This window comes from Homo sapiens, chromosome 2, assembly GCF_000001405.40.
Source record: "Homo sapiens chromosome 2, GRCh38.p14 Primary Assembly".
In the NCBI taxonomy this organism is placed as follows: Eukaryota; Metazoa; Chordata; class Mammalia; order Primates; family Hominidae; genus Homo; species Homo sapiens.
In genome coordinates, this window is record NC_000002.12 from 201671815 (window position 1) to 201687746 (window position 15932).

At 43.7% G+C, this 15932-nt stretch overlaps 1 protein-coding gene across 2 annotated transcripts in view; it reads right to left on the reverse strand.

The window, feature by feature from the left end:
- The window catches only part of MPP4 (MAGUK p55 scaffold protein 4), a 53771-nt gene that overhangs the window by 26941 nt on the left and 10898 nt on the right, over positions 1-15932 (reverse strand). For both annotated transcript variants that reach the window (NM_001438024.1, NM_033066.3), the window contains exons 5-11: positions 15477-15557; positions 14105-14236; positions 13250-13331; positions 11017-11102; positions 9682-9753; positions 9024-9220; positions 3393-3457 (exon numbers count right to left, since the gene is read on the reverse strand). In NM_001438024.1, the coding sequence (NP_001424953.1) occupies positions 3393-3457; positions 9024-9220; positions 9682-9753; positions 11017-11102; positions 13250-13331; positions 14105-14236; positions 15477-15557 (715 nt within the window). The remainder of the gene's footprint in view (positions 1-3392; positions 3458-9023; positions 9221-9681; positions 9754-11016; positions 11103-13249; positions 13332-14104; positions 14237-15476; positions 15558-15932) is intronic.

Below are 15932 nucleotides of genomic sequence, written 5' to 3' on the forward strand. Positions count from 1 at the left end.
ACCCACTGTCAATATTAGACAGATCAACGAGACAGAAAATTAACAAGGATATTCAGGACTTGAACTCAGCTCTGGACCAAGTGGACCTAATAGACATCTACAGAACTCTATACCCCAAATCAACAGAATATACATTCTTCTCAGCACCACATCACACTTATTCTAAAATTGACCACCAACCGGAAGTAAAACATTCCTCAGCAAATGCAAAAGAACGGAAATCATAACAGTCTCTCAGACCACAGTGCAATCAAATTAGAACTCAGGATTAAGAAACTCACTCAAAACCGTACAACTACATGGAAACAGAACAACCTGCTCCAGAATGACTACTGGGTAAATAATGAAATTAAGGCAGAAATAAATAAGTTATTTGAAAGCAATGAGAACAAAGACACAATGTACCAGAATCTCTGGAAAACAGCTAAAGCAGTGTTTAGAAGGAAATTTAGAGCACTAAATGCCCACAGGAGAAAGCAAGAAAGATCCAAAATCGAAACCCTAACATCACAATTAAAAGAACTAGAGAAGCAAGAGCAAACAAATTCAAAAATCTAGCAGAAGACAAGAAATAACTAAGATCAGAGCAGAACTGAAGGAGACAGAGACACAAAAAAACCTTCAAAAAAATCAATGAATTCAGGAGCTGGATTTTTGAAAAGATTAAGAAAATAGATAGACCACTAGCCAGATTAATAAAGAAGAAAAGAGAGAAGAATCAAATAGACACAATAAAAAATGATAAAGGGGACAACATCACCACTGATCCCACAGAAATACAAACTACCATCAAGGAATACTATAAACACCTCTATGCAAATAAACTAGAAAATCTAGAGAAATGGATAAATTCCTGGACACATGCACCCTCCCATGACTAAACCAGGAAGTAGTTGAATCCCTGAATAGACCAATAACAAGTTCTGAAATTGAGGCAGTAATTAATAGCCTACCAACCAAAAAAAAGCCCAGGACCAAATGGAGCTGGTACCATTCCTTCTGAAACTATTCCAAACAATGGAAAAAGAGGGACTCCTCCCTCACTCATTTTATGAGGCCAGCATCATCCTGATACCATCAACCTGGCAGAGACACACACACAAAAAAAATTTCAGGCCAATATCCGTGATGAACATCGATGGGAAAATCCTCAATAAAATACTGGCAAACCAAATCCAGCAGCACAGCAAAAAGCTTATCCACCACAATCAAGTTGGCTTCATCCCTGGGATGCAAGGCTGGTTCAACATATGCAAATCAATAAATGTAATCCATCACATAAACAGAACCAATGACAAAAACCACATGATTACCTCAATACATGCAGAAAAGGCCTTTGATAAAATTCAACACCCCCTCATGCTAAAAACTCTCAATAAACTAGGTACTGATGGAACGTATCTCAAAATAATAAGAGCTATTTATGACAAACGCACAGCCAGAATCATACTGAATGGGAATGGATGAAGCTGGAAACCATCATTCCCAGCAAACTAAGACAGGAACAGAAAACCAAACACCGCATTTTCTCACTCATAAATGGGAGTTGAACTATGAGAACACGTCGACACAGGGAGGGGAACATCACACACTGGGGGCCTGTTGGCCGGTGGGGGCTAAGGGGAGGGATAGCATTAGGACAAATACCTAATGTAGATAATGGGTTAATAGGTGCAGCAAACCACCATGGCACATGTATACCTATGTAACAAACCTGCACGTTCTGCACATGTATCCCAGAACTTACAGTATAATTAAAAAAGAAAAAAAAAGATGTTAAGTTTAAAAAAATAAAAAGTGGTATTGCAGCTATTACTATAACCATCTAAAATATGTGTTCACCACTGGAAGTTAATATGAAAATATTGTCATTGAGAAGGCATGTTTTCTTTTGTCAAAAACTGCCTTTATAGTTGTCCTCACATCTTTTCAATAAGAAAATAAAAGGAAAAGTAATTTTTGGCTTGGAGAAGGGAGACATAATAAAGTGGGTGAGGCTTGCCCCGGGCAGATCTGTGATGTTGATACTTTTTGTGTCCTTCCAGTCTCCTCTCTTTGCCTCCCCTCCGTCCTTCTGGTGCCCAGTTCCCTCCCTTACCCCCTTTCCAGGGCCCACCTGAGGGCCATTTCAGAAGGGCCTCGCTCAGTAGGCTCAGCTGGCCTCTGCCAAGCCACAGCACCTTTAATCAAGCATTTGCCACCATGGAGCCTTTACTCACCACTCCCCAGCTGCTTGAATAATATTGTCTAGCAATCAAACTGCATTCATTAAGTAACAATTCCATCCCATATTTATTCACCAAAGGCATACACAATTGTTAATCAGTGCTTCTGAACAGTGTGAAGGTTAAGTCCTCTAAGTTGATAGAACCCAAATGAAGGTATATGTGTAGTTATGCAGCCTTGCTTGCCAGTCAGGTATAATGCACATATGAGCTGCAGAGATCTTGGAAGGCCTCAACTTGGGGAGGGATGTCTTCAGGTGTCACCAAGATAAGAACATATGCATTTTCATAAACTGAAAACCCTTCTAAATCCAAAGAAGGAATGTCAACGGTAGGACTTCAGATGGCTGGCTGCCAGGGAGATTATTTGGGGGCAGTGGGGACATTTAGAGATCTCCTAGGCAGGAAGCCAGCCCTGGAGGGAGGAAGCAGGCTCTCCCAGGATGCACATGCTGGGTCTGAGGTAGACACATACTGAAATTGCCTTTGTAAAAATTACATCAGTGAGAAAATTATGGTAGTGGGGGAGATCTGATCTAGCCCAAGCTCCTCTTGCTTTTAGCTTTCAAGCTGCCTTCATTCCAGGGTTCGCTTTGAGAGACATTTTATTTATAGTTTAAATGATAACAGTCCTTCCCCTAAAACTCAGCCGCCTTTATAAAGCTAATGAGAGACCATCAAGTTAGTGGAAGGAGAGGAGCCTGAATTCTGCTAAGGTGTAGACTGTCATAAGATATGCAATTTCCCCAATAATTCCTGCAAATAACATTACTATTGTAGAACCTAAGATTGGCCTTTTGTGACATCTTTTTAGGTTTTTTGCATGTCTGACACCTGTGGCTCCATCTGGACCCACCAACCAATGGCTCCTGTGGCTCCACCCAGAAGCAACTCAGTACAAGAGGACAGCTTCAACTCCCTATGATTTCGTCTCTGATCCAACCAATCAGTAGCAAGTGCCCACTGAATAGCCACCACCCCCACGCCCTCCCCAAACTACCTTTGAAAAACCCCTAATCTAGGGCCCTTCAAGGAGATTGATTTAAATAACAACTCCATCTCCCATGTGGCATGGCCAGCCTCACATCAATTAGACTCTTTATTTACTGCAATGCCATGGTCTTTATTGCAAACAGGAAGAACCTGTCGGGCAGTTGCAATACTCACATAGGGTTGACTTGAGGCAGGTGTGAGGCTGGTACGGCTGAGACCACCAGAATTCCCGTTGCTTCCTATGGGGGGGAAAAAACCATGCGACAAAAAACAAACAAAAACCACTCTTTGTTAACCTAGATGAAACAGACCCAGAGCAACGACAAACAGAATGTTTCTTAGAATTCTGCTGCCTTCACTCAAGTGAAAAGGGTGATTGCTTCTCCAAATACATTGTCAAATAAATTTTCCAAACATATAGGCTCTCTCATGTCTTCTTCTGCCTCACGGGATCTTTTCAGAACAACAAAGACTTACAGTGACAATCTCGCACATGATCACAAGTTTGCACATGGAGTTTCAGTAAATGACCCGTGGTAAGCTGCCTCTCAGGCATGTTAGCCTGTCTTTGCAGTCTCCTTCGAATTCTCATGACATGTTCAGGTTTCCCTCTCAGGCTATTAGAGGCTCTCTACAGTTTCTATAGATGACTCTGCTCCTTTCTTGATCTCTAGCATCACCCCTGGGCTCCAGGGCAAGGCTTCACCTTTTCTTGGCACCTGAAACCTCTGTTGACTTGTTCCTCTTCCCTTGAGTCCCCCAGCAATTTCTTTGGGCAGGTTTTCCTTGCCTTGCCTACTTCAAAGCAACTTTCTAAGCAAAGTTGCTCTTCCTTCTTTATTCAACACTGTGAAGTTTGGAGCAAGAGAAGATTTCGAAGACACTCTGTTCTTTGTATTCCCAGAACTGCAGCATCACCTTTACCTGGGAGCTTGTGAGGACTGCAGAATCTCAGTCTCCACCCCAAGCCTTCCAAATTAGAATCTCCATTTTAATAAGAGCCCAGGTAAGTCATATGTATGTTAAAGGCAACAAGCTCTAATTTAATCTCTCAAACTTTGGAATACATCTGAGGTGTTTGTTAAAATGCAAATAATCTGGGCCTCCCAGAGCTCCTGCCTCCAATTCCCTGGAGATAAGGCCAGGGCATCTACATGTTTAAATCAAACTCTCCATGTGATTCTAATTCACAAGAGAGTTGAAGAAGGGCCAATTTAGTCCACCTTCCTCACTTTAGAAATGAGGAAACTGATCCAGGGAAGTCAAGCAATGTGGTGGAGGTTGAACAGTTAGCAGCAGGAGGCATCTATGCTATAATCTACAAAGTGATGGACTGGGATTCAACAGACCTGGGTTCCAGGCATGCTTCCCCTCCTTAGGATCTTGGACAAATCTCCTAATGTCTGAAACTTAGTTCCCCACTTTTGAAATGGGGCTCAGCGCATTTGGCATCGTGAGGACTAAATAATACATGAGACCTTACTGTAAACTCAATTAGCATGGACATGCAGGGCATTCAGATTCATTAATTATTTGAAGAGATAACATATACACAGAGTAAAAATCTTAACAGTATAAAAAAGTAGGCTGGGTGTGGTGGCTCACGCCTGTAATCCCAGCACTTTGGGAGGCCGAGGCAGGCAGATCACCTGAGGTCAGGAGTTCGAGACCAGCTTGGCCAACACAGTGAAACCCCATCTCTACTAAAAATACAAAAATTAGTTGGACGTGGTGGTGCGCACCTGGAGTCCCAGCTACTCTGGAGGCTGAGGCAGGGAAATGGCTTGAACCCAAGAGGCCAGGGCTGCAGTGAGCTGAGATCATGCCACTGCACTCCAGCCTGGTGACAGAGCAAGACTCCATCTCAAAAAATAAAAACATTTAAAAAGTAAGGCTTCTTCCCTTCCTTCTGCTCAGTTTCTTGTGCATTCTTCCAGAAATATTCTCTGCATAATTAAGGTACTTTAATTCACAGCACATGCAGGCCAGAGCCAAGATTCTTGATTCCTAGTTAGGTGATGAGCTCTGTAAATATCTGTGTTTCCTGTTTTTTAACCTTCTGTACCTTTCCTTGGTTACTCCATGGTTAATTACCTGGTAGTCTGATCTCTCTCTATCTCTGTCTCTGTGTCTCTCATTCTCTATCAGCTTCCTCTCTAGGCTTCACCCTGGCCTTTCTCCTCTGGGAGCTCCTGGTTTTTCATTCTTACAAAATGCTATCCTGTACATCTTCACATGTTCCCTCTGGGGGAAACTCCAGCGAATGGGGCCTCTCACTGGAAAGTCACGTCTACTTGCCAAAAATATTTGCTACTCTGGCACAAACCATCAACATCTAACTCCCCCAATTTGCAATAGAGTCATTCCAAACTCCTTTAGATGGGTATTATTTTCCACCAATATGCCCTTTTTGGAGAAGCCTTCCTCCTCACTCTTTCACAGTTTTCTAAAATCAGATATAATTTTCTACCTGTTGAAAGTAAAAACAAACAAGCAAAACCAAAACAAAACCCCCCCAGCTACTTGCATTCAAATCTGTCACTCTTATAAAGAGTTTAAAAAATATTTTATGCGCTCATTCACTATTCCTAAGCACAATGCTGCTCTTCATACCACTTACCCTGAGCACCTGAGGCGCTTGGTGAAGATGCAGATTCCTGGCTCAGTCCATATCTATTGAATCAGATCCTCAGAGAGGGGAGGGCAGAGCCGGGGAATCCGTATTTTACAAAATACCCAGCTCATTTTTACTCATAGCAAAGTTGGAGAGGTAGGAAGAGAGAAAAATTGTTTGTAGATATCAAAGACCTCATTTATTGAGGCTCAGAGATACTGACTTCTCAAAAGCCACATCAGCCCGCGCTCGGGGCAGGCCTCTTGCCCAGATATGGCAGCGGATTTAGTCTCAACACCCTCCTCCAGTCCTCCAATGTGCCTCCTGGTTTTCTGAATGAGATTCAGGAGAGTCCGAGGTGCCTTCCATTATTCTGTCCCCAACAAGACATTTGTGTAGACTCTGCTATTGACATATTGCTTCTAAATGAAATTGCTTAATTTCTTATTTTCATATTAGGTTTTCACGTGGCAATGACTAAAAGCAGCATGAGAACTTCCTATCATTCTTTGTTTGTGTGCCCCCCCAAGAAACCCATAATTGGGTTTTGTGTGCTCCTTGCAAGGCCCCTGCCAGACCCTCCTCACCACTTTCTGACCTGAAACCATGAGGACTAATCTCATTAGGCCTTTATCCCTGTTCATGTCCTTCAGCCCCCAAGCTCAGGTCACCCCTTATCCCCTGTGCTTTAATCCCTATAAGACCCCTTCCACCCACCCACGCCCTCTGGAACCCACAGCAAATCTTCAGCAAACTCTCTTAGACCTCAGCCTCTTCTTTGAGCCCTTTCTTCTTGCTTTAACTGCAGCCCAACTCTCCCTGTGGTCTGCTTCTCCTGCAGCCTTCAAGAGGGGGATGTTTCCTCTCCCACGCCCAGTGGGGTGCTGGTGAAATAGCTCTGGGGGATGGAAGCCCTGACTCGGAGGCTCTGCTGATTTCTACAGTGTTGATGCTCTCACGGTGGCTGATTTCAAGCTACCATCCTGTCTTCACTGAACGTGGGTGTGTGAAGAGATGGCTCGCGTCACATGGCTCCAGCACATCCTTGTGTATAGCTTTCCTTCCACTGGGCCTGGAGGTGGGGGGTGTGTCCTTGCTTCTCACTGCCATTTCCAGATTATTCTTCCTCTTCCCTAGGAGCCCCCAGCTTTGAACATCATCCCACTACTTTTCTGGTAGCCATCGCCAGCTCACTCCTGCTCACTCCTAGGTCTCAACACTGTTCTGTCACAGTTCTCAATGATTTTATCACACATACAAATGTCCCTTTCAGCACCCTGGCCTATTGGGTGCTTGATCTCCTCTTTTCCAATAACCTTTCCCTCATTCAACCTCAGCCACTGCCTCCCATTGTCATACCCAAGACCTCATCAGTACTGACAACAGCAATCTCTCCTTAATTTTAACTTCCAGCATCCCTTTCTCCTACTAACACTTCCCATCTTCCCAGCCCCAATACACCGTTGACCTCATAAAGACCTGCAATCCATTGATCTTACTTCCTTCTCACCAATCCTCACCTGCTTCATTTCCTCATCTCCCTCCTAAACAGCTTACATGTCACACTCCATCCTTATAATCTGTCCCTTGGCCCCCTCTTGATTTGCTGTTAAATCCAACCCTCTGTCTAATCTGGACCCGCACCCCAGAAGCACTTCAAATATATGACCTTTAACTTAAGAGGGCCTTTAATGCTGATCACACTATGTTTACCTAATCTGTTTGCTCTCCAACTCTCATGGAAACTTTTCAAGCTTTCTACTCTCTCCTTCCCAATGCCCCCTTCCCCACCCTGCTCTCTGCTTATGATTTCTCATTTCACTGAGAAAATAACAGTTAGGAGAGAACTTCCACAAGTGCCTGCCATATGCTCCACCCTCAGCTGTGCCCCATACTCCATCTTCCCTCGTGGTACCATTTCTATGGATGAGCTGTTTATGGTCCTAGGTCAGGCCAAGCTCTCTTCTTGAATACTAAAGCATATCTCCTACCGCCTGCTCAAAGACATCAACAACAGCAATTCTCTTCTGTTTCTCCCTTATCATCAAAATGTTCCCTCTGGTGGATGACTCCCATTACTTATGCCATCTAAAAATTTCGCTCACACCACTCCACTCTCCCCTCTGGCTATTTCTCCATCATTCTGCTCTGCTTTTTCCCAAAATGTCTCAAAGAGTTTCCTATGCTCACTGTCATCCATTTCTTCAAATCCCACTCTAATGAGGATTTCGGCCCCACTTCTCCACTGAAATTGCTCTTATTAAGATCACTAATGACTGTCATACTGCTAAATCCAGTGGTCAATTCTCAGCCTTCCCAGCAGAAGGTGATATAGCTGATGAGGACCCCATACAGTCTTGATTTTCATTCTGCCTCGTTGGTCATTCCTTCTCAATATCTTTTACTGGTTCCATTTTTTCTTCTTGATCTCTTAACAGTGGCTGAGCCTGGGACTGCTGCTTCTTTCTATTTGCACGCCCTCCCTTGGTAGCTTGTCAAAACTCAGTAGCATAAGGTGAGGGTGGTGGGTTGAAATTGAGGTCTCAACTCAGCCTTGAAAGATGAATCCTTTTTTGTCTTAGTCTGTGCAGGCTGCTATAACAAAGTACCGTAAACTGGGTCACTTACAAACAACAGAGATGTATTTGCTCATAGTTCTGGAAGCTGGGAAGTCCAAGATCAAGGAGCCAGTGGATGCAGTGTCTGGCGAGGGCCACTCCGTGACTCATAAATGGCACCTTTTAGCTGGGTCCTCCCATGGTGGAAGGGGAAAATAAGCTCCCTCAGGCCTCTTTTATAAGGGCACTAATCCCATTCATGAGGGCAGAGTGCTCATGACCTAACCACCTGCTAAAGGCCCCGCCTCTTAATACTATTGCATTGGGGATTAGGTCTCAACATATGAATTTTGGAGAGGACACAAACATTCAGGCCATAGCACTTTTTAAGTTTAATTTAGTTTCCCAAGACTTTTCCCTGTTTTCTAGCTGATATGATTATTCTCGTCTCCTTGGTATTTAAGATGCTTAGGGTTTATCGATAAGTTGACATTTGGATTTATAAACCAGTGTGTGTGTGTTCATTCATCTGCTTGTCCCTCTTTATCTCATCTTGAGGTAACAGAAACCCAAGAAAAACATTTTGTTTCCTGATGGTTCAGCCCTGAGTCCAGGAGTGGTGACGTTCCTTACCTCTTCAGAAGGTGGTTAGAAGGGACAAGCCCAGCGCAGGTAGCAGGGTCTGAGATTTTTCGGGCCTGCCACCAGAGGGCATCATTCTGGTCCACAATCTGGAGGATGTCCCCCTTCTGGAAAGGCAATCCAGCGTCCATGCAGGGGATGTCGGGATCCTCCTGGGGCCAGTACTCAGTCATGGCACGGACGTACACCTGATGGCAGGTGCATAATGACGCTATCAGAAGGTGCCTAATGGTGCCATCCGAAGAACCCTTGCCCATGGGCCATCATGACTTAAAACCATTTCTCCCACTCCTCCACCTGCTACTCCTATCTTTCCTCTCCACCCTCACCAAAAAGGAGAACTCGCCTCCTGAGCCTAAGTACCATGATAAAAAGCATCTTTGGGAACAGAATCTCTTAGCTTAGAGAAGTTTAGGCTCAAATGTTCATGATTTTTTATGTTGCTTCTTGACTTCTTAGTATCCCATCTCCTTGTACTGTACTCATTTACTTATTTTGCTTCTCGGGCCATCAGTATTGAAAAATATCCAACACAGTCTTGAATCCAGGTCCAACACAGTACAAAGGATAGGATTATTACGCATCATATTTAGTTGCTGTTACTTGGGGATTTACTGTGTGTGAGATTGAAGGCTCAGTAAATTCTTACCATCTGCTGGCTATTCACAGGAGGGTCAGAGACTGGAACCACCTTGAACATGATTGTGCCTCGAGACATGGCCTGGAAAATAAGAGAGGAGAAAGGATGACAATCATGGAGCTAGCAGGGTTACTGGGGCTCGGTGGACAGAGTTACAGTGCAATGTATCCAGGTCTCATGGTAAAATCCCCCAAGAGCCTTTCACAAGGGCTCTGCAGCTGTCACCATCCAGAAATGGAAATCAGGAAGCAATTTACCCCTGCATCTGCCCTGCTGTGTGGTTCTGGGGTCGCTGGTCTGCTAAAAGCCACACTGAAGTGGCCTCTTCCAGGGACCCCCCCCCACCCTACACTGAAACAGAAACACCCCACCAGCAAGGTCTTCCTCACACAGGCCCTGGGGAGAGACAGGATCTCCATCTGACTTTCCCTCCTTATTCCCTTACTCAGTAAGCATTTCCTGAATGCCTGTTTCTACACCAGATACCCCAGTCTGATGGGGAAGAAGAGGGGCTCCTAAGTTTTCTGGGAGAACTGACAACCTTCCAAACTAATAGAGGAAATAGGGAGCTCTCAGACCGGGGGAAGGAAGAATTCCCCTGTTACATACACTGTGATGGGCATTAAACATCTAGAGATTAAGACCCCGTTTGTACTCAGGAATTTCAAAATCCCACTGTCCCGGCAACATCACAGCTGGCACCAGGGGGTAGAAGCCATGCATATCTGTGATTTCTAGTACTTCAAGCTTCCTTTGCAGCACATTCTATACCACACAGAATCTTGCAGCAGTGGCTTACAAAGGATTTAGGTGCTTGTCTCATAGCACCACTCCTCGCCTCAGTCTCTAAGCCACTGCTATGAAATCCTGGCAGGAACCCAGTTTGAGAACCACTGGTCTATCCACTATAAGAAAGGCTGCCCTCCAGGAAGATGTTGAACATTTCAGCCATAGAAAAGTGTTAGTGGGGGAAGGAGTGGTTTGCTTGGGTTCAGACTCTCCTACTAAGTCTCACTCTGTCCACCCCAGGTTCAGTTTCCAATGGAGCAAACCAGGTGATGAGGGAGCTGGGCTGGGGGCCCTGGCAGTCTTCCCGTGGCTGAAGGAGGAAGGAGCTGCTTGGGACGGGAAGTTTCCCAGCCAGGACCAGAACTTCTCGGGGTAGAGGAGGGAGGTCAGCAAGTGACATGGGTGACAGACAAGGTCTGGGAGCCTGGAGGGAGAAAGCTGCCAAGAGAACTTGAGTCCCCGGTACATCCCAGTGCACACACGTGGGCTTGATGGTCCCAGTTCAGCCTTGGCATTTCTCCAAGTCATTAACAAAAAGGCAAAAAGAAGATTTACCAGAATATGGATCACTTGTTCAGGGTCCAGTCCCTCAACTGAAACTCCATTCACTTCTACCAGTTTGTCTCCAGCATATAGCAACCCTAGGCAGACAGTAACAAAAAACAAAGAAAGATACAAAGAAGTAGGATAAAAATAGCAGTAGCTACCTCGATAGCTATTTAACTCACTAACCCAAGCATGCTCTAAAAATGTTTAATATAAAATAATAATAGAAAAGAAAGCTGGTTATTCCAACTTACATCACCCCCAGAAATGTGTGAACAGTCCATTTTTCTACCTCGTCATAAATACTTGGCATTGACTTATGGTCATATTTTTATTTTTGCTAGTCTGATGTTGTAAAATGGAACCAGAACGCTGGTAAGAAAATAGCACTAAATCCAAAGATGTCAGGGTCATAAGTCAACAACAAAAAGGAAATGGGGTAGGTATTATTCAAAAGAGAAAATGTGGAGAAACTTGGGGTTTAAGTGAAGACTTGAGAAATGTGAGGTAAAACAGTGGAGTTGTCAGATAGTTGAGAGAAGAAGTGGAATGGTGTTATAGAACAGAAACGAAGCATGATAAAAAATTCAAGAAAGGTGTCAACAGCATCAGATGTGGTCAAGAAGTGAAAATAAAACTGAGGAGGGCCAGGCATGGCGGCTAATGCCTATAATCCTAGCACTTTGGGAGGCCAAGGTAGGTGGACCACTTGAGGCCAGAAGTTCAAGACCAGCCTTGCCAACTTGATGACACTCTGTCTGTACTAAAAATACAAAAAAAATTAGCTGGGGGTGGAGGTACATGCCTGTAATCCCAGCTGCTTTGGAGGCTGAGGCAGGAGAATTGCTTGAACTCGGGAGGCAGAGGTTGCAATGAGCTGTGATTGCCCTACTGCACTCCAGCCTAGGTGACAGAGTGAGACTCTGTCTCAAAAAAAAAAAAAGAAAAGAAAAGAAAACTGAGGAGGAAGGAAGGGCCAATGGACTTAGCAACTAGGAAATTCTTGGTATTTACAATGAGAATGTTGAAGTATAAAGCATGTGCTAGGTTTTAGGGCTTCGGGGTAGTGAAGATGTATAACAGGTATAGAACCACTCATTTCAGAAGCACAACAGTAGCCAGGTGTGGTGGCTCATACCTGTAATCCCAACAGTCTGGGAGGCCAAGGCAGGAGGATTGCTTGAGCCCAGGAGGTTGACACCAGCCTGGGCAACATAGTGAGACCCTATCTAAACATAAAATAGAAAAATTGGCTGGGCATGGTAGTGTGCACCAGTGGACCCAGCTACTCGGGGGCTGAGGTGGAAGGATTGCTTGAGCCCAGGAAGTTGAGGCTACAGTGAGTCATGATCATACCCCTGCACTCCAGCCTGAGCAACAGATTAAGACCCTGTCTCAAAAAAAAAAAAAAAAAGTTTTTAGAAGAACAGCAGTGAAAGGATGAAAATCTGGTTAACTGGTTGAAAGTGTGAGCAAAAGGCATTTCAAGATGGGAAAGAGCTATGCCTTTCTGAAAGTAGAAGGACAAAGTGCAGAGAAAAAGTTGGGAATATAGAGCTAAGCAGCTTGAATCCTGACTCAAACGGTGTAACTCTGAGCAAGTTAGTTTCATAATCTCTTTGAGCCTCAGTTTCCTCATCTATACAATGGCATGATAATAGTTACCTTTGAGGTTGCCATGAGAATGTAAACTGAGAGACTTTAATGTGGTACCTAGAATGGGAAGGACTCAGTGAAGGAGAGGAGTAAGATTTCTCTGGAATATTTGTTTCTTCTTTCTTTACTGCTTTATCCAAGAAATGGAACTTACTAAAGCCCTGACCCAAGTTAAGAAAGAGGGATTTCTCAGGACGGGTGTGTGGCTCACGCCTATAGTCCCAGCACTTTGGGAGGCTGAGGTGGGCGGATCACGAGGTCGGGAGATTGAGACCATCCTGGCTAACACGGTGAAACCCCGTCTCTACTAAAAATACAAAAAATTAGCCGGGCGTGGTGGCGGGCGCCTGTAATCCCAGCTACTTGGGAGGCTGAGGCAGGAGAATGGCAAACCCCAGAGGTGGAGCTTGCAGTGAGCCGAGATCACGCCACTGCACTCCAGCCTGGGCGACAGAGCAAGACTCCATCTCAAAAAAAAAAAAAGAAAAAAAAAAAGAAAAAAAAGGGATTTCTCTAGAAAGAAGCCTAAACAGTCAAGGGTTTCCTGTTTTTCTGGTAACTCTCAATCCCAGCTGCTCCAGCTTACCACTTCTCTCCGCCAGCCCACCGTGGATGATCCTGGCCACCAAGATGTCCCCTGTCATCTCGTGGCGCTTGATGGTGGCTCCCTGAAGAGAGAATAGACGAGATCCCTCTGTTACCTGACATGACCATTTTCCAGGTGGCTTCCCTCAATCAATGCAGCTCTGGTCTTTCAATCAATGCAGCTCTGGTCTTTCAATCAATGCAGCTCTGGTCTTTCAATCAATGCAGCTCTGGTCTTTCAATCAATGCAGCTCTGGTTTTTCAAACAAGGCTATTCAGGCAACCAGGGACGGAGGGGCCACACAGTGCCCTGTGGCCTGTCAGTCATAGCATGCCATCAAAAAGGAAAGGCCATTCGGCTTTGGCTTCCTGGAGTCTCATTTCAACCACACAGACATAAAAGAATACTTAGATTCATCCAAAGATACAGAAACCTCCCACAATTAAAACCTAATTAGAGGGACTGTTCTTAGAAAATCAGATTAATGCCTTCCTTAGCTTCTCATTAATATAAGGAAATAGGCAAATGCAATGGAATTGAGGGAAATACATGCATAGGTCAGAAAGCCAAATATTAAAATAAAACATATGTCTTATTTCTCACAAAAATGTCTTATAAATCTCATCTTACTTTTCACAAAAGAAAAACACTAAGCTGAAATCTTTCCTTAGAGAAAACACCGTGACATGTAATATGTTTGAAACCACAGGCAAAACTTGCAGAGTTGACAGCCGTTATTATCACTGTATATGTGATCGCAGGCAAGGCTACTGCCCAAGTAACCACTAGATATAATTTGGTTCACAATTAACCTAAGCTTACCCTAAATGGAAAGATAAAAAATGATTTCCTTACCAGGGGCTGTTGGTTTTTCACTAAACAAACAATCCTCATTGCTTCCTCACTCTCAGGGATATTGTCTGGCAGTGGAGGGAGAAGGGGTTCAAAATCTTTCTGAGCTATCGTGTCATGGGCACTGAGCAAGGCCTGGGCACAGGGAAGGAAAAGGTGAGCAAATGTCACACATGGGCCAAACCCCTCTAGAAGATAGTAACTCAATACTATCTAAGACACAGCAACAACAACAAACACCAATACAGACATGCCAGACACAGTGCGAAGCATTTTATATGAATTAATCCGATCTTCACAATAATTCTATGAGGCAGGTACATTAATTGTCCTCAATTTGCAGATAAGGAAATAAGGCACAGAGAGGTTAAGCAATGCACAATACACTCTTTCATTTCTGCTAAAATGTATTATGCCACGACATTCTTATTTCCTGGCAGCCCATGTAATCTGTGATGCCCCTGTGGAGTTTGAACTACAAAACAACTTTTATAATATTTTCCCCAATTAAGGTAGAACGAAGGGCAGCAATCAAAATATCTTGCTGGTTTAATTTGTTAGTAACACTCAAGGGCTCATGTGGTACAGAATGAGGAGTTCATATGATCAAGCTCTTTGATCATAGGGTATGATCATAGGGTATGATCAAAGAGTTTCTTTGACTAGTCCACTAGGTTAAATTCTTCATTTCACGGGCTGGAGAAGCTGTCACTCTGCCACCCTGACTGAGATTGGTAGACACAATTTAGTTGGAACTCAGAAAATTCTCTAAGTAGTGCGTGCCGTTGAGGATATTTGATGACTGGTGGTTGTGTTGTGAATTATAACTTTTGACTGATAAATTTCAGCACTCCAAATACAGACATTGTCTTAAAGTTCTAATTTATTGATAAATTGGTCTCAAATCTGTAAGTACTAAGAGATAGGTTTCTGTTCTGCAATCAAATGTTCTTCATAAACCCTCTCACAGGGATAATCATCATTATACTGTATATTCCAAATACACACACATTATCTAAAACTCAAAATAGTCCCACTTTGGAAAGGAAGCATGGAGGTATTCCTCTATAACTAGAACATTCCCTGTTTGCTACCCAAGATTTTTGGATGGGCAATAGCTTTGTAGGGGAAACAAAGCACCATGGAAAGTTCTGGATGCCTCCTCATAAACACAGCAGGCTTGACTGCATGATTGACAACACTGAGCTAGTCACATCTGAGTCCCACATATTTAAGTACAATCTGTTGGTCAGTAACCGTGTACAGTAATAGAACATCTATTCAGAGAGAACATTTTCCATCACATATATTTCTCCTTCCCAACTTTGTCTATGTGCCAGATGGGGACATCTTTTCTATTTTAGCAGGCACTTGCCTTGAAGTGTGGAGCCTGGAGCATTTGTCTCAGCTCTTGGATCTCAGGGGAAGTAGGGGTTTCACGTAATAACTCCACTACCTGGTTCATGGAAAAGGATACATTATAAAAATTTTAAAAAATCTTTATCACCTACTTAACCTCACCCAGGCTGGATAACATACATACTAACATGATATTGACCTTTAAAAAGCTATTACTGGAGCCTTCTTTTTCATCTATAAAGCCATCCATTAAAGCCTACCATCCTTCTTTATTCATTAAAATTGCTACTTTAATATAGCAAATAGAATTCAAGAGTTGAGATGGATCTAAACCCAATGCCCAATCCTGGCACATAGGCATGGAGGATGTACCAATTTGGTAACAGCATATGAACCAAGGCACTTTTCCTCTAGTGCCTCTAAAATATAATAGCTGTTGGCTGATGTCAATGCTTTGCAGGCTTATGAAGCT